General features: G+C 40.2%; 1 long non-coding RNA gene across 3 annotated transcripts in view; it reads left to right on the top strand.

Annotated features, from left to right (window-relative positions):
• Positions 1-415: 415 nt before the first annotated feature.
• LOC105374911 (uncharacterized) overlaps positions 416-19,819 on the top strand; it is a 43,091-nt gene continuing 23,687 nt past the window's right edge. For all 3 annotated transcript variants that reach the window (XR_007059438.1, XR_926444.3, XR_926445.3), the window contains exons 1-2: positions 416-698; positions 1,642-1,713. This is a non-coding gene — a long non-coding RNA (uncharacterized LOC105374911). The remainder of the gene's footprint in view (positions 699-1,641; positions 1,714-19,819) is intronic.

Genomic DNA, 19,819 nt, shown 5'->3' on the forward strand with positions numbered 1-19,819 from the left:
GGGCTAGGTGCCTAAAAGTCCAGCCGAGCATGCCAATGAGACGTGAAGCCGGCTGGGCTTCTGGGACTGGTAGGGACTTGGAGAACTTTTCTATCTAACTAAAGGATTGTAAACGCACCAATCAGCACTCTGTGTCTAGCTAAAGGTTTGTAAACACACCAATCAGCGCTCTGTGTCTAGCTAATCGGGTAGAGGACTTAAGAGAACTTTTGTGTCTAGCTAAGGGTTGTAAACGCACCAATCAGTACTCTGTGTCTAGCTAAAGGTTTGTAAATGCACCAATCAGCACTCTGTCAAAACGGACCAATCAGTATTCTGTAAAATGGACCAATCAACTCTCTGTAAAATGGACCAATCAGTAGGATGTGGGTGGGGCCAAAGAAGGGAATAAAAGCAGGTTACCTGGGCCTGCAGTGGTTATCTGGTCAGGTCAGTTTATAAGTTGTGGGGGGTGTGTGGTTTTTTTTTTTTGTTTTTTTGTTTTGTTTGAAGCTCTTAACAATTAATGTTGCTGCTTAGTGTTTGGGTCTGTGCTGCTGTATGTATGTGAGCTGTAATACTCACTGTGAAGGTCTTCAACTTCACTCCTGAAGTCAGTGAGATCACGAGCCCACCAGAAGGAAGAAACTCCACACACTTCTGAACAGCTGAAGGAACGAACTCCGGACACACCACCTTGTAGAACTGTGACACTCATGGTGAGACTTTGCAGTTTCCGTGAGACCATAGAACTCACCAATTCTGGACCCAACTGCTATCTGTACGTTGTGCAGAAGCTGCACCTGGTGCCTGAAGCCGGTCTCCCTGGAGGTGCTATTTTTCAAATCTTTAACTACTTATTCAAGGCCGTATGCAAGCCGTTTTCTGGCCCTTCCAAAATTCCTCTTTGATAACTGCAGTCCACGTTGACTTTTTTACATTCACTTGTACTTTATAAAACTTTCATTGTACGTAAGGATACTTAACACGACATCCACCCTGTTAACAAAATTTTTAGGAGTCCAATACAGTATTAATTCTGGGTAGAATGTTGTGCAGCAGGTCTCTGCAGCCTACTCATTCTGCTTGCCTAAAACTTGAGAACTGTGGTTAGCAGCTACCTGTTTACTACTCCTCTCTGTGCCTGGCTGGAATTATGCAGTATTTGTCCCTCTGCAGCTGGATTATTTATTATAGCCTCACAGCTTCAATGTCATTAACTAGTCATCAGGGAACTGTAAACCAAAACCACGATGAGCTATCCACACACACCTGTCAGAATGGCTATTAAAACAAAACCTGAAACAAAAGACAAGTGTTGGCCAGATTGTGGAGAAGTTGGGAGCCTGTACACAGTTGGTAGAAATGCGAAATGATTCAGCCACTATGGAAAACAATACAAAGGATCCTTGAAAAATGAGAACTAGAACTACCATATGACCCAGCAGTCCCACTTCTGGGTATTTATCCAGAAGAATTGAAATCAGAATCTCGCAGAGATATCAGTACTCCCAGGTTCATTGCAACATTATTCACAATAGCCAAGATGTGGAAAGAACTGAAATGCCTACTGGCAGATGAATGGATACAGAAAATGTGATATATATATATACATATATATATATATATGTATATGTATATATACAATGAATTATTTTTCAGCCTTAAAAAGGATATTCTGTCATGTGTGGCAAGATGGATAAACCTGGAGGACATTACGCTCCAGTGAAACGGGTAAGTATTGCTAATCCTTCTTCCACGTAAGTAAGCTAAAACTCAGATGTCATATTATCTGCCCAAGGTTTTAGAGGTAACATAAGGAAGTGGAGAAGTTGGAATTCAAACCGGTCTGAAATGTTGCTGCCGTACACAAGGTCATCTAGATTTCTGTCGATTCATTTGCATTTTCTCCATGGACTATCATGTCATCGGCTAACAAAGATAGTTTCATTTGTTTCTTTCAAATCAGTATACCTTTTATTCAATTTTCTTATTTCCAAATCGTTATACTTTTTATTCTATTTTCTTATTTCCAAATCGATATACATTTTATTCCATTTTCTTGTTTTGTTGCATTAGCTAGAACTTCTAGTGTTGAAAGGGAGTGGTGAGAATGGGTATGCTTGTCTCATTCCTGACCTTAGTGGGAAAACTTCTAATTTTTCCCCGTTAAGGATGATGTTCGCTGTCGGAGTTTTGTAGATTTTTTTTTTTTATCAAAGTAAAGAAGTTTCCCTCTATTTCTAGTTTGCTGGGAATTTTATTACAAGAGTGTTAGGCTTAGTCAAATGGTTTCTCTGCATAGATTGATATAATTATATGGTTTTTCTTCTTTAGCTCGTCGATGTGATGGATTATGTTAACTGATTTTTGAATGTTGAACCAGCCTTGCACACCTAGGGTAAATCCTACTTGGTCATGGTGATCTATTTCCTTTTTAATTTTCTCTCCTCTACTTAGAATAGAATTTTTACTGCTAAGGTATGAGTGTGTGTGTGTAAGGGAGTTCCATGCCTTAACCCTAACATGGTGGTATCATTCTATACCTGGTAAACTTGAGTACTCAGTACTGTTGTCACTAGCATATACTACAGCTCAGTGAGCTTTAGTTTTACTCTGAAGTGCCTTTGAGGACTTCATAGGAGCAGTAAGAATGCTTAGGACGAAAAATAAAATATTGTATGACCATTCAGGGTTGCTTCCTTAGTGACTTCCCAACTTTCTTCCTCTCTGTACTGTTTAGTTGTTTGCTGCCCTCTCTCCATGTGACCCAGCTCCTGACCAGTTGAACCAATCAGAATAGTCCAAATTCTCATGCCATCCACTCATTTAGGGATGGAAACGTGACCCAGCTCAGGATGGTGAAATGTGTGAGGGCGGTTCTGCTCAACTACTATCTGTGCACTTGGGAAAGGATTCCTTGGTTTTTAGAAGGAGCAAAAGAAAAAGATGGTTTATTCTGGAGTGTCATTTCTGGATGGCTGCCACTGTGTGGCCACCAGGCAACCATAAGGGGAGTTGGGTTAGGACAATGCCAGTACACCCAACGTGGCGGAGTTGAGAGATGGAAGAAACCCAGGTCCTTGGGGGCATTGTGGAATTGCCGAAGTTTACTAACCTTGAAGCTGCCTTAACTCTTAGTCTTAATTTTCTAAAGCAGAAATCTGAGGATTCCTGCAATGTTGGTAGGTACTTGCATTTATGTTGAGAAATTTTTCTGAGTGTGGCCCAAGAACAGCCTATGTCAGAATATTTCAGAATGCCTGCTAGAAAGCTGGCTTTTCTTCATATCTTCCATATTATAGGAAGGAATATCCATGGCGGGGCCTAGGAATCACCATTTTAACAATTCCTCTATTCTTCTGTTCACTCAAGATTCAGAATCTGTATTTTCAGATACCTGTTGCAGGGACTCAGTTCATCACCCCCATGGAGAACAGCCTTGCAATGTATTATATTTTCCTATGTTGATGCCTAATTCTTACAGGGCATCTCACCATTCTAAGATAACACCACCCTAATGAGACATGAGCCTAAAGTCCAGAAATGTGAAACAGATTAGAAGCGAGAAAAAGATCAGAAATATTTATTAGGATAATTGGAAGAAGAAATGGTGAAACTCAACAGGATAAAAATATGTTAGTGAGACAATGGGTCTTCTCCAACATATATTCAGAGGCAGATGGTAAAGTGGGAAGCTAACCCGTTAAGAAATAATTATAATAGGTTGTTGGAGACTAGGGAAAAGAAAGTAAAAGATTTATTAAATAGCTTGTACTCCATTTATGCACAAAGGTGGCCAATCATAGATTATATGTGCATGTGAGTGTGTATTAATGAGAGGGAGCAAGCCTTGGAGAAGGCAGCAGAGCTTAAAGATTGCCTGTGGAAGGCATGAATGCATCAAATGGTCATCTTATGAGCTGAAAGAGTGATGTCCTCACTTTCAGCATCTCACTGGCCATCAAGTACAGTTTGACTCCTATGTTGTTAAATGACAGTTGTAAAAATGATAGCTCTGTAATGTCTGATAATTAAAATACTTCTTTTCTGGCAAAGGCTATTTAGATTTGCATTTGTTGAAACCTACAAATACTCATGCATGTGCGTGCACACACACACACACACACACACATCTCTCTAGAATAAACCATTTAAACACCTTTACATCCTTTTCCCAAGCCTTCAATAACTTCCAATTACTGAAGCCATAAATGCCCTATTTCACAAAATAATACTCTTGAGGCCGGCACATTTGCCTCACTTCCTACCTGGGAAAGGCTAAGTCTCTTGTTAGAATAGTAATTTAGATTATATTTAGTTTGGAACTTCATTCCCATGGCCCTGGAGAGCAGATATTGGTGTTTTCATACACTCATGGGTGGGTCTTTTCTCTTAAATATTGAAGGTTGCGGAGCTGATCTCTAGCGCACTGTTAGGGAGAGAATTCTTGAAATTTCACACAGGAACTACTCACCATCTTCCTGCTATCAAATATATGAATATGCCTACATCTTTATCAACCATGTCCTCCTTCTCACTTGTTAAAATAGAAATTCTATCTGTTCTTTAAATCCAGTCTCTTCCTGGGTGCTTACGATTCGATTTGCCTCTATTTTCCAGGAATTTGACAGAGCCCCTTCTCTCTATTTTGTATTTGACCCCTCCTTTCAATTTTTCTTTTTTATTTATTACTTATCAATTTTTTTTTTGAGATGGAGTCTCGCTCTGTTGCCCAGGCTGGAGTGCAATGGTGCAATCTCAGCTCACTGGAACCTCTGCCTCCTGGGTTCAAGCAATTCTCCCGCCGCAGCCTCCCGAGTTGCTGGGATTACAGCCACCCGCCATCATGTCTGGCTAATTTTTGTATTTTTGTAGAGCTGGGGTTTCACCATGTTGGCCAGGCTGGTCTTGATCTCTTGACCTCAGGTGATCCACCCGCCTCAGCCTCCCAAAGTGTTGGGATTACAGTTGTGAGCTACCACGCCAAGCCTCAATTTTTCTTTTTTTAATAGACTTTATTTTTTAGAGCAGTTTTAAGGTCACAGAAAATTTGAATGGAAGCCACAGAGAATTTTTATGAACCCTGTTCCCCCACACATGGACAGCATCCCCCATTATCACCATCTTCCACCAGAATGGCACATTTGTTACAATTGATGAACTGATGTTGACACATCATGATCACCCAAAGTCCATAGTTTACAGTAAGGTCCACTCTTGGTGTTGGACATTCCATGGATTTGGACAAATGTATAGTTACATGTATCCACCACTATAGTATCATACAGAGTAGTTTCACTGCCCCCCAAATCTTCTTTGCTCTACATATTCATCCCTCCCTTCCCCAACCCCTGGAAATCACTGATCTTTTACTATCTCCATAGTTTTTCCTTTTGCAGAATGGCCTGTAATTGGAATTATACAATAGCCTTTACAGATTGGTTTCTTTCACTTAGTAGTATGCATTTAAGTTTCCTCCAAGCTTTTTCTTGGCTTAATAGAGCATTTCCTTTTAGCAATGAATAACATTTCATTGTCTGGGTAGAACACAGTTTATCCATTCACCTACTGATGGACATCATGGTTGCTTTCAAGTTTTGGAAATTGTGAATGAAGTTACTATAAACATTTGTGTGTAGATTTCTGTGTGTACAAAAGTTTTAACTCATTTGGGTAAATACTAATGAGTGCAATGGCTGGATTGTGTAATAAGATTATATTTAGTTTTGTATCAAACTGCCAGTGTTTCCAAAAGACTGTACCACTTTGTATTCCTATCAGGAATGAATGAGAGTTCCTGTTCCTCCACATCTTTGCCCGTGTTTGGTGTTGTCAGTGTTCTGGGTTTTGGCCATGCTCATGGGTGTGTAGTGGGATCTCAGTGTTGTTTTAATGTGTACTCTCTAATGACATGATGTGGAGCATCTCTTCATATGCTTATATTTATCTGTATATCTTCTCTGGTAAGCTATCTGTTCAGATCTTTAGCCTACTTTTTAATTGGGCTATGTATTTTCTCATTGTTGAGTTTTAAGAGTACTTCGTCTATTTTGGAAAACAGTCCTTTATCATATGCCTTCTGCAAATATTTTCTCCAAGTCTGTGGCTCATCTCTCATTCTCTTGACAGTGTCTCTTGCAGATAACTTTTTAATTTTAATGAAGTCCAGTTTATCAATTATTTCTTTCATGGATTGTGCGCTTGGTATTGTATCTAAAATGTTATTGTCATACTGAAGGTCATCTAAATTTTCCCCTGTGTTATCTTCTAGAAGTTTTATACTTTTGCATTTTACACTTAAGTCTATGATACATTTTGAGTAAATTTTTGTGAGAGGTCTGAAGTCTGTGTCTAGATTTTTTTTTGTTTGTTATGTGGCTGTTGAGAGTTGTCCTAGCAACATTTGTTGCAAAGACTTTATTTTCTTGTCTTTGCTCCTTTGTCAAAGATCCATTGACTATCTATCTATCTATCTATCTATCTATCTATCTATCTATCTATCTATCTATCTATCTGGGTCTGTTTTAGGCTTTGTGTTCTGTTCCATTGATCTGTTTGTCCAGGCTTATGCCAACGTCTTGATTACTACAGCTTTATGATAAGTGTTGAAGTCAGGCAGTGTCAGTTCTCTGACTGTTCTTTACTATCGTGTTGGCTATTCTGGGTCTTTTGCCTCTCCATATAAATTTTAGAATTAGTTTGTCAATTCTCCTGTCAATTTTTATTTTTCTCTTTCATATTTAAAATCTGCTTAAGATTCTTCATTCAAAAACAAGACTAAGCATACAACAACAAACCCCAAAGCAGCCCTCTCAACCTCCCTTCCAATTTCTGCTCTCTCTCCTTTCTTGTCAGGTTTTACCCTCATCAATTTGACCAAAACAGTTCTTGAGGATTTCATTAGTGACTCTTATGTAGCAAAATCAGCTGATATTTTAGAGCTCCCTTGATTTGGCTTCTGAGCTGCGTTCATCACTGTTGACCTTTGCCTCTCCTTCGCTGTTTTCGGCAGCCGTGCCTTCCTCAGCCTGGATATCCGAGGTTGCAGTCCTCAGAGCTCCATCCTGGACTTTCTGATGTTCTTCCTGTCTTCGCTTCCTGAGTGGTTCTGACCATGCTTCAGTCACTTCCCTATCACATCCTACTGTTGACTACCAATGTTTACAGATATCCCAGGTGAATTCCTGTGGAGTCTTTACCACAGTTTATGATTATAGATGTAGTCATTTATTTATTTGCCTCCCTAGACTGTTAGTGATATGAGACCAAGGTCTGGGTCCATCTTTGCTCCACAGTGTCCCTAGAGCTTAGAACTTAGTTGACACATCTTAGTTACTCTTTGAATATTGTTGAATGAAGGACCAGAGAGAGGAAACTTGGCTATCATACTGTCTGTCCATAAGTGCTTCTGAGGTGTCTCTAGTGAGACTAGTCATTTAGATTATAATTAAGTTGTTCTCACTGTCAGTGTCCTCACTTATCACTTTCTAAGCTGATCAGTAGCTTGTTGTTGTCAAGTTCTTTGGCTTCTTTGCTCTTACCTTTCTGAGATTGACATGGCCTAAGTATATTTTCTCTTTGGCCCACCCCTTTTCCCCCAAGATACAGTTGTTGCCTATTTTGGAGGATCTCTTGTTTCTTTGTTGATCTCTCTCTCTTTTGTACAATAGCTCAAGGAAGAATTTGGAGCAATGTTTTTCTCTCTCTAAACATACCTAGAGGGTTGAGATGCCACTAGGTTACATGGTGAAATCAGCCACTGCTTGACATACAAGGATTGGAAATTTACATTTCTGACATGGATCTCCCATTTTTTTGCAGTATGATTTTGGTATCTTGCATGGATTTAAAACTTTATTTTGTTCTAAATCTAAATACTATAATAGTAGATACCTACCTACATGTATGTAAAATACTCGAATAAAATAAAACAAAAATATGCTTCTATGTGGATTCATTATTCTTTTCCAAATTTCCTCTATGTTTCCCTGGTCTTCAGGACTCAAGTCTGATGCCAGTCTACCCCTTTTCTATCTTTCTATCATTTCTGTCTATCTTGACCTGGCTAGCAGGCCATGCTGCTCTGGTATCTACTGAACTCATCAGCAAAAACCATTGCCAACACCTTTTTGCCTTGCAGCTCATATTCTGAACTCTGCCATCTCAACATTTTTGCCTTCTATTTCTAGCCATTTCCAGCTTGTAGGTTCTGCAGCTGTCTCACTTTAAAAAATGTTTTATTGACATACAATTAACACAATAATAAACTATGCATATTTAAAGGGTATAATTTGATGAGTTTTTACCTATATACATCTATACCCATGAAACCAGCATCATGATCAGTATAGTGAACATGTGCATCAGCCCAAAGTTTTCTCATGTCCCTTCATAATCCCCTGTTGTCCTTCCCCAGATCCCAAATCCACAAAACCACCAATCTAATTTCTGCCACTATCAACTAGTTAGCATATTTTAGACTTTTTATAAATAGAATCATACAGTGTCTATTCAGTTTCATCTGGCATCTCATAATTATTTTGAGATTCATTCATATTGTGCTTTATCACTTCCCTTGTGAATGGAAATTTGGATTGTCTTGTTTTGGACTGTCTTGTTTTGGCCTATGAAAAATAAAACTATTATGAACGTTGGCACACAAATATTTGTATGGGTGTATATTTCTTTTGAATAAATATTCAGGAGTGCAATGGCTGGATCATATGCTAGAGAAATGCTTCACTTTTTCAAGAAGCTGCTAAAGTTTTTTTCCAAAATGGTTGCACTATATTATATTTCCACCCGCAATGTTTGAGAGTTCCAGTTCCCCCATATTCTCCCCAAAACTTGCTATTGTCAGTCTTTTTAATTTTAATAATTCTCATAGGTAAATAGTTGTATCTCATTATAGCTTTAATTTGTATCACCTTGAGTTTTAGGAGTTCTTTATATGTTCTGGATACAAATGTTTATCAGACATGTGCTCTGCAAAGATTTTCACCCAGTCCGTAGTTCGTTTTTTCATTCTTTTAGCTGTATCTTTTGATGGGCAGACATTTTTCATTTTGATTAAGTCCAACTTATCAATTTTTTAATGGATAGTGCATGTGGTGTCATATCTAAGAAATTTTTTGCATAATCCAAGATCAAAAAAATTTTCTCTCATGTTTTCTTCTAAAAGTTTTATTCTTTTAGATTTTACATTTAGGTCTATAATCTTTGAGTTAATCTTGTATATAGTGTGAGGTATGAACCAAAGTTCATTTTTAGGGGGAGACAGGTTTCTTCTTATTTTATAGTTTCATGCTTATACCTTAGGCTTGATACTTGGGACCCCTCCTTGATGGTTAATAGTTACACTGATTACAGCTGGTTACACACTGGTTATGCACTGATTACAGCTGCTCTGGCCAATACTTTGCTGAGTAGAGCTTAGCCTTAGGACCAAACTTCATGATGATGGTTGGGGCCAGTCTGTGGCTTGGTTAGCTTTGGCCCCATGGCCAGGGTCCACATGGAGCCCTTTCTTTGAGTCTAACTGATCGTTGTTGTTTTCTTTTTTTTATTTGCTGTGTATCCCTCTTGATCTAACCTTTTCTTCTTTAAGTGCTCATATCACATCTCTAGATTAATTACAGCAAGGACGTAGCATTTATACCTCCTCTCTTCTATCTAATGTGTGCCTCACTGAGAGCCACCTCTATAGTCACTCCTAGATTCTCATCTCAAATACCAAACCAAATTCATTTAGGTCATTCAGTTCATTGATCCAGTGTTTGCTGAGTTTTACCACATGCCATGCAAACTGCAACAAAGGCAGGCTCCATCCCTGCTGTCATGCACCTTATAGCCCAGTGGTGGATACAGAGAAATAAATAGGCTAATATGGAATGGTGAAATTAGTGCTAAAATGGTGGGAATTATAGGGGCTTCCATTAGTCAAGTCTCCTCTTTTGAATTGTCCCCACCTTTGATTACAACTTGGTTGCTTGTTCTTAAGGAGAGCATCTATCCATGGTTTCCTTCTTTGCCTGATCATCATCTAATGAATTTGGACACTTCCAAAGAGCAAAATGCCATTTGCATTCATACAAATTCTGCAAGAGGTAAAAAATTTGGTTCTGAATTATCTAGTTAATTGTCACTGCCATCTGATTTTTGGCTGTGGGCAAGTAGCCTTACCTGTGAACTGAAACTTGTATAATTCCTGTAGGAATTCTTTTACTTTTGCCTCTGAATGCTTTTCTAATGAACTGCATGTAAAATTCCACCTTTCTTAGAATTTATAAGACTGTATGTGAAATCTTGCTCTGTCATTTGCTGTGTGACCCACCCCTATTTTTTTGTGCCTCAGTTTTTTATGTATAAATTGAGAGTTTCAAGTTTTGATTCTAAAATGCTAGATGCTTCACTTTAAAAATTACTTAAAGCTTACCTCCCTTATTCAGACCACCTCCCCTCCATCTCTGGCCACTCCAATAATCCAGTAGCCACTTTATATGTGAACATAATTATATATAGCCATCTAGCTATCTACAAGTATTTCTACTTCAGATATTTTGCTGTCTGGTTATACGAAAATGTTGCTCTACATTTTCCCAAAGACTGTAAAAATATGCAGTCAGTAGTTTGTTCTTTTCAATTTGATGTATTTCCATAACCTTGGCATGTAATATATGAAAAAGATATTGACCAAGTGATTTTGTTCTAATAGCTTCATGTATATATAAAAGAATTCCTCAGTAGTCCAACAGATTTGGGATTTCAGATAACCAGTTTACACTTTTGGCCCACGTAATTGCTTTTTCATTGGACATGAAGATTGAGGGCCTGAACTGTCCAGCTGAATCAGTTCTCGCTTCAGTTTTGCTTGTGTGGAGCCTCACCTCTGAGCTCCTACTTGGCTAATTCCGGCGAAGTCCCACTGGGAGCATGGCAAGAAGAGAGGAGTGATGCAAACAGGCCTGAGAGCTTGAGTGCTGCTGGTGACTGCGCCATTACCCAGAAAGTGCAGGTTAATGTGGAGGAAGGGAGGAAACTGTGGGAGGCAGCAAAGCAAACCCTACAACACCCATTAGAAAGAACAGTCATGCAGCATTGAGATCAGGAAAGAAGGGTCAAGGGTCAAAAAATCAGAGAAACTACCCCCATTCCCTAACCAAGGAATGCATGCGAGAGACAGGAATCAAAGAAACAGCAATAGAATGAATACTGAATTAATTCACATGGATTTGGCTCTCACAATGTGGCCCCGAGTCACCTGATGGGTCTCTAAATCCTTGCAGGACAAACAACCCGTGCTGGTGGGAAGGATGTTATCAAGTGGCAGCAAATAGGAGGCATGCTGCACTGCTCCTAGCAAGTGCTGTGTCAGCTGTATGTAAACTATCAATTTGGCATATGCAAATAACTCCATCATAGAATAGAATATTAAGTGAGATCAGAAAGCCCAGAGAGAATTACGTGCTAATTCAGAGAAGGAAGAATTCAGTGTCCATTCAAGTGTGAATGTATATGTTGAATCCAGAAAGGCTTTATGAAGACGTGAAATTTGAAGTCAGCCTTGTAGAACTGGAAAAATTTTGTCAAGCCAATACTGTAGGAGTAAGGCAGAAATAGTAATAGAAAATGGAAAAGAAGTTAGAAAATGAGAGAGTGCTTAGAGAACATCCGTAGTTTAGTTTGGCCAAGGGATAGATAGGATATGGGGGCAAAAAGAAATAAGATTTTAATGGTAGGTTGAGGACAACTCATGAGGACTCCTATATGCTACCCATGACTTTTCTTTTTCTTTTTCTTTTTTATTTTTTGAGATGGGTTCTCACTTTAAAGTCCAGACTGGAGTGCAGTGGTGTGATATCTGCTCACTGCAGCCTCAACCTCTGAGGCTCAGGTGATTTCTTCTACCTCAGCCTCCTGAGTAACTGGGACTACAGGTGAATAAATGCTACCACACTGAGGTAACTTTTTATATTTTTTTGCAGAGATGGGTTTTCGCCATGTTGCCCAGGATGGTCTCAAACTCCTGGGCTCAAGTGATCCGCCCACCTCGGCTCTCAAAGTACTGGGATTACAGGCATGAGCCATTGTACCCTGTCACTACTCATGACTTTGTTTCTCCATTTGTTCCCACTTTCTCAAAGGTATTTCACTGCTCGCCTCTACCTGGGGCCTCAGTCCAGAGCCAATCTGGGGGGAACATGTGAAAGCCTTCCTTATCCATTTGGGTTTGGATGTACATCATGTTCCCATTCTTAGAGTCCAGAAATCCAGCCTCGCTAGACTCCAAAATGACTATGCTGTTTATCCCTAAGCCTCCTTGGCCGCCATATAGCTCAGAGCCTGCATGCACCGCTAATGCACAGCCAGCCCCTACGTCACAGAACTGCTTATGTTCTCAAGTCCCCATGTTCACCAAAGGGAGCGTCTGCATGCTTCCTTTTCCATACTCTGCCCACTTGCTGAGCCTAGTAGCACAATGCCCCTCTAGAAATGGGTCCTAATCCATGTAAGCTGCATCCTGGAATTCTGCATAGTTCTCAAGAGGGCTCTCACCCCTTCTCCCTAGACTGGAACTTACCACCTGTAGACTAAGAGTTCCCGCATCGGTGTAGCTTCTTAGCTGGATTTGTTCCTGCTTTGTGCTGAATTGCTAATTTGATGTTTTGATATTATCATTTACAGAATTAGGAATAAAAATCTTTATACCAGGTCTCAGACATTGGACCTACACATACTGGTAGCCTCTTAGTTCATCAATGCTCTTGGCCACCTTCTACTCTAAAGAGCAGATCTCTGTTCAGTGTTGGCCTCTTATACTTCCCACCAGTTCGTCAGGCTTAGTGGCAAAGCCTACCTGAGACGCTGCACCAAGTGATTTCTCATTGTCTACTAACTTATTGCACATAAATAAGGTTTACTCACATGGGGTTTATGTTCCATGAGTAACTAACCTTCCATTTTCCACCATTTTTATATAGGAAAAATCAACTTCAGGAACAAACATGGCATTCAAGACTATATCATATAGAATTTGTTAGAGGCACAAAGCAGAACTTGACTCTGGGAAATTTAAATATAGGGCACATATTGAAAGGATGTCAGAAGGTTACAATAATAATGAGCACGCTGGAGAAATAGGATTGAGTGTGGGAAGGGTAAGGTAACACCAAAAGGTTAGGGTTAACTAAAACTACAAGGCTGGACCTGTGGCAGGAACTTGAACTCGTAGTTGGGTTCCTCCACTGGTATTGGTATGACTTCCATTTCTTTTGACCTTGTGTTAGTCTCTGAAGATTCAAAATTAAAAGAGTATCCACTGCTTAACTATCCCCCAGTATGATGTGTCTGCCCTTGTAATAGTCTCTGAGGATTCAAATTTACAAATGAGTATCCACCACTTAACTATCCCCCATTATGAGGTGTCTGACAGGAGACTTGCGTAGTCAGCTTCCACAGTGGGAGGCGAGCATCTGTCATACCAGACCCCTATTAACTCCAATAGAGATGGCACCAGGTTCAGGAGACAGAAGAGAACTAGAGTCAGCAAACAAGACCTAAGTGTTCACTAGCCAGAAACTTACATACAAAGTGGGCCAGTGGCAGCAGGCTGGACAGAACTGCAACCGCTTGTGCAAAGCATGCAGTTCATACAGCATCTTCACTTAGCACCCTCCCCCTAACAATCTCCATCAAGCAACCTTCATTTAACCCAAGACAAAGGGCCTTGATACCCTGTATGGCCCACATTCTATGATACGGGCTGGGGGCTCAGGTGCTCCTCACAGACAAGGAATGGATCTCCATGTTGCCCACTCCTGGATCCCTTAGCTTGGAACCCCAAACACACATTCAGGTGTGAGTGCCACACAGGGTAATCCTTAGGGTATGCTCAAGTCAAATTACTGCTCTCAGGCGCATCTACCACACAACATCCACAGTTATTGTCCCACGAAGACCCCACACAATGCGGAAGAAGTGATTTCCTAAACTGAAACAAAGACATTATTAGGAAGGGGAAATGGGTATTGTGTTGACAAAAATATATATCTTCAAATATCCTTTCTCTAGTTCTTTTCTATTACTGCTTCAGACCTCATACTTTTTAAGTCTTGAAAAGACATTTTGTGAATTGGTTGACAAAAACAGTCACTAAAAAATGTTTTCTGACTCTGTCCCCACCTTCCCTACACAAACTCCAAATGCCCACGGTCCTCCCAAATGGCTCTGGGAGGGCCCCAGTGGCGTTCAACGTGTGCTCTGAAAGCTGGCTTTGTACCTCAGGGGCTTCGTCTTTGCTTTTTCCTCATGTTTTAAAGGTCTTTGATTGTGTCTTGGTAGATACTAGCATCAGAAGTGGAAGCTCTGATGTCAGCGTTATTAATTCTACACCCTAGTGATGGCTGCTGTCAGAGCCACCTGTGCTGTGACTATGGCGGTCACCAGTGCTGTCACCCCTATTGTCACCAATGGTGCCTCTGGTGCCCAGTGACCCACAAAGATACAGACAAATGTTTCCTTTATTATTTAATTCCTTTTCCATTGCTTCCCTTCTTTATATATCTTGTGCCTCTCAGAATCCTCTTTCTCCTCTGAAGATGGGTCAACCCATTGTCTTTGAAAGAAATTTCTGGGCCTTTCAACTGTTTTTTATGTTGGGTTACTTACCAAGGAACATCTACTACATCTACTCTATGTAATTCCCCAAACTGGCCATGCAATTCCCTTCCTTTGTCCTTTGTCTTTCTCTTCTCTTTTCCCAGAATATCATTCCCAAACTGTATTCACCTGCAGAGCTCTGATTAATCCTTCAATCTCATCTAACCCAGACTGGAATGATTAATTGCAGTCAATCCACATTCTGTCTCATAGCCCTCAGGGCAGTATATTGAAATGATCAGTTTATATTTCTGTCTCCCCACCTAAACTCTGAGCTCCTTGAGGGCAGGACCTGGGTTTATTTATTTCTCTCTCTCTCTCTCTCTCTCTTTCTCTCACATATCTTGCTGTCTGGCACATAAAGACCTTGGATACTCTTATTCAGTCATTTAGTACTGAAATTTAAGATTTAAAAAATCTGTCAAAACACCTAAGCAGCTCAGTTCCAGAGGAGTGTCTGTAGGGAGATAATAAATACCATATGCTTTCCCTCTGTGGTGAGGAGGATGGCAGGAGGAGGGTTGTTTAAAGCTGATGTGTTTCAACCCATTTTTAACAGCACGTCATAGGAGCCACCTGTTTCTGTGCCCCCCTCTTCCCCCCAACTCCTTTTTTTTTTAAAGTCGAAGTCTCCCTCTGTCACACAGGCTAGAGTGCAATTTTGGCTCACCGCAGCCCCCGCCTCCTGGGTTGAAGTGATTCTCCTGCCTCAGCCTCCTGAGTAGCAGGGATTACATGTGCACGCCACCACGCCTGGCTAATTTTTGTATTTTTAATAGACATGGGGTTTCACCATGTTGGCCAGGCTGGTCTCGAACTCCTGACCTCAGGTGATCTGCCCACCTTGGCCTCTCAAAGTGTTGGGATTACGGGCGTGAGCCACTGTGCCTAGATCCCCCCAATTGCTAATCCCTGCCTAGTCTCCCAGCTGGCCTCGACACCCTCTGAAAACACCATGTGTTTGGAAACCACTCAAAATAACCATAACCAATGGATGACTATGGTAGCAACAAAATACTAGTTTTTTTCCCTCCATATATCAAATAAAACATCATGAAAGTTATCTCCATAGCTTTGGATAAAATGGAATAAGATAAGCAATTTGAAATTTCTACTTTAGAAAAATTTCCTAAGGAAATAAAAAATTTATATTAAATATTAGTCTTTTAGTAGAGCATATGTCTCCCGAGTAGCTGGGATTACAGGTGTGCACCACCATGCTCGGCTAAGTTTTGTATTTTTAGTAGAGATGGGGTTTCCCCATGTTGGCCAGGCTGGTTTCAAACTTTTGATCTCAGGTGATCTGCCTGCCTCAGCCTCCCAAAGTGCTGGAATTACAGGCATGAGCCACCATGCCCAGCCTTATTATCATTACATAAACAAGCTCTGCTGTCCCCCTTTGTATATCTTTTCTCTCCTGGTCATTCTTATAGCTAAGAAGCATCATTTCTAACTATTTTCAGAAAAAAAATACTCTTTAGTCTATTGGGTATTTCATGCAAAAGCAAACATTACTTTTTGTTTTATTTTCTTTTTTTACAACTGTAGCAAATATGGGATCAGTGGCCAGATTGAGGAAGATATTTTGATTTACTTCTCTCCCTAAGACAGTTTTCAGGTGTTATCTTTGGTGGGAAGCAGATGAAACTAATTAAAGATTGAGTTTCGCAGAAGGCTTGAAGTAGAGAAAGTACAAAGTGTGAATGATTTGGCTCTAGGGAGACCAGGGACAAGGAACTTTGCCTACAGGTGCAGCTTACAGGTGCTTACGTGCTTTACACGGACTATGGGCTTAAAGCAAAGATGGCAAATCATAGAGGTGGTAACAGGTATCATTTTCTTTCTCCCTCCCCTCCCCTCCCCTCCCCTCCTCTCCCCTCCCCTCCCCTCCCTTTCTTCTCTCTCTTTTTTTTGAGATGGAGTCTGCTCTGTCGTCCAGGCAGGAGTACAGTGGCACAATCTCAGCTTACCACAACCTCTGCCTCCCAGGTTCTCAGCCTCCCGAGTAGCTGGGATTACAGGTGTGCACCACCACGCCCGGCTAAGTTTTGTACTTTTAGTAGAGACGGGGTTTCTCCATGTTGGCCAGGCTGGTTTCAAACTTTTGACCTCAGGTGATCTGCCTGCCTCGGCTTCCCAAAGTACTGGAATTACAGGCATGAGCCACCGCACCCAGCCTCATTATTATTTTTTTCTTGATGAACTCTTTGTTATCAGAAAATATGTTCAAGTTACAATCTGGGAAGGGGTGTATCACCTTCCTACTTTTCCTCTTCTGTGCAAAGCACACACTCAGAATCCTCACTACATATTATCTGGTACCACACATATTTTTATGACCTAAAATTGGGCTCTAAGGCATTTCAACACACACACACACACACACACACACACACAATATATATATATATGTATATATATACACACACAGATATATATATTTATTTACTTATATATAGTGATCTTCTGTCTATTCTTTACCTGTGCCACCCTGTTCAGGAAGCCCTGCGTTGCCCTGTTCAGGAAACCGTGTGTGATAAGAATAATTGGTTTCAGTGTTGGAAAGCGTCTTTAAACGTTGCCCACCCAAATGACCTGTCTAATGCCTAAATCCCCTCTGCCATACTCCCCCACAGTAAACATGGAGCTTCCTTCTGAATTATTCCAGTTCAAACAGGTCATTCCAGGAGGGCTGTTAAACTTGGGGCAGGGCAGGTGAGCTCTCAGAGTTCGAGAGGTCTTCCTAATATTGAGATTAAAATCCTCCTCTTTGTAATTTCCACTGGCTAATTCCAGTTAAGCCTTCTGGGGTCATACAGAAGGAATACAGGCCCCTTTCTACAGGACAACTCTCTTCATATCTAAAGACTGCTCTGTAGTTCACAATGTTTCTGAAAATTGTTTTTTAAATAAAATATCTCACTTTTCTTAATAGCATTTTATCTGTATGGAGGAAACATAACTGGATGTTTCCTCTGTACATATCCCCTGTATATCTTGGATCTCCCCAGATTCCACTCCCAGCTATTTTATTTGTTGGTGCTGTGGAAATAGGCAAATCTCTTTACTCTGAAAGCCTGTTTATCATAAGATTAAACATAATGCCAATTTCATGGTTATATTTTTAGGATTCATTTATTCAATAAATATTTATTGAGTGCCCATTAGGCTGGGAATAAAATAATAAAGCAGACAAACACCTCTACCCTCTTGAAGCTTAGATTCTCTGAGGGTAGGGGACAGAAAATAAATAAAATATAGAGAATGTTGATTGGCAAAAGTACTACAAAGAAAAGCAAAGCAGAAAAGTGGGGATGGGGAATACCAAATTGGAGACTTGCAATTTCAGACAGGGACTAAATGACATAGTGTGCACAATTGCACTTTGTAAACTGTAGAAAGCCGGACATGTAGGACCTATTATTTCTATTGTGTAGTGTTCTCGCTCCCCCATGCTGGTCACTTTTCTCTGGTCATATTCATTTGCGTATTTCTCTCTTAATGTTTGGTGTCTGGAACTGAGTCTAGCACCCCAGGTGTAGTTAGACCAACTCAGGGTACTACACTGATTTTGCCCTACCTATTTTCGAAAGGATTTTAGTTAGCTTATAATCAACTAAAAATCTAAGGCTTTCTCATTGATTTCATCCTTGAGCATACGTGTCTGCCTGGGATGCTTACCCAGTGGTGGGGCAGTAAAGCCAGCTTTAGGAACAGGAGTGGGCAGCTTCCCACACAGTTGAATTTTAGATCTCCCTGCTCCTACCCTCATCCATTGAGCCAAACCTGAAGTTTTTGCAAGAGAGAGGGAAGTTTTCATTTCATGAGAAATTGGTATCCTTAAAAGCACATTGCCCCAAATACACACATTTCTGATGTGGAAGAATTCAAAATAATTTATATGTATATAAATCCTCTGATCTCAAGAAGGTGGACCATAAGTCACCACTTGTTAAGTGTGAGATTCACAGAGACCTCCTGCTAAAGAGAACAGTACAGAAAGAAGAGAACCAAGAATAACTTCACACTGGGCAAACCTGACAAATACTACTTCAGTGAGGCAATCAGGATCAGCATCAACAGTCACAAATGATGTTGATATGATGGACCCTTGAAATGATTCAATAAAAAATGCCAATTTCCCTCTGTAGTCATCCTTCCAAAACCTCATGCCCCTAGTCTAATCATGAGAAACACATCAGAAAAATTCCATTATAACAATATATCGACCAGCATTTCTCAAAACTGTCAAGGTCATCAAAAACAGGGAAAGTCTGAAAAAGTGTTACAACCCAGAGGCGCCTGAGAAGACATGATTACTAAATGTATTGTGGAGTCTTGGATGAGGTCTTGGAGTAGAAAACAGACATTAAATAAAAGCTAAGGAAATCTGAATAAAGTATAGACCCTAGTTAGTAATAATGTATCATTATTGGTTTGTTAACTGTGACAAATGTACCATGCTGATGTTAAGATGTTAACTGGGCATGGAGTACATGAGAACTCTGCCCTACTGTGATGGCTAATTTTGTGTGTCAACTTGGCTGGGCTTTGGGTGCCCAGATATTTAGTCAAACATTATTCTGGATGTTTCTGTGAGGGTGTTTTGGATGAGATTAACATTTAAATTTGTGGATTTTGAGTCAAGCAGATTGTCTTCCATAATGTAGATGGGCCTCCTCCAATCAGTTGAAGGCCTGAAAGATTGGCCTCCCTGAGCAAGAGAGAGTTCTGTAGCATATTGTCTTCAGACTTTACCGGTGACATCAATTCTTCCTGGTTCATACAGCAGACTACCTTTAGATTTGAAGTGAAATGCAGCTCTCCTGGGTTTCCAGCCTGCCGGCCCACCTTATGGATTTTGGATTTGCCAGCCTCCGTAACTGCATAAGCCAATTCCCTTTAATAAATTTCTTTCTGTGTGTGTATTCACATCCTATTGGTTCTATTTCTTTGGAGAACCCTGATTAATACAACTACTTTTACAACTTTTCTGTAAATCTAAATCCATTCTAAAATAAGGAATTTATTTAAAAGGTAAATTTTTAAAAGTGAGTAGCCTTGAAAGAGGCAGCACACTGATTTAAATGTATTCCGAGCTAAATTTACTCTGAATTCCAGTTTTTTTCTCGGAGCTTTGGTGTGGGAAAGTATCAAAGGGAAAGTAAAAAAGGCCTTA

The sequence above is a fragment of the Homo sapiens genome, chromosome 6, assembly GCF_000001405.40.
Source record: "Homo sapiens chromosome 6, GRCh38.p14 Primary Assembly".
NCBI classification, from domain to species: Eukaryota; Metazoa; Chordata; class Mammalia; order Primates; family Hominidae; genus Homo; species Homo sapiens.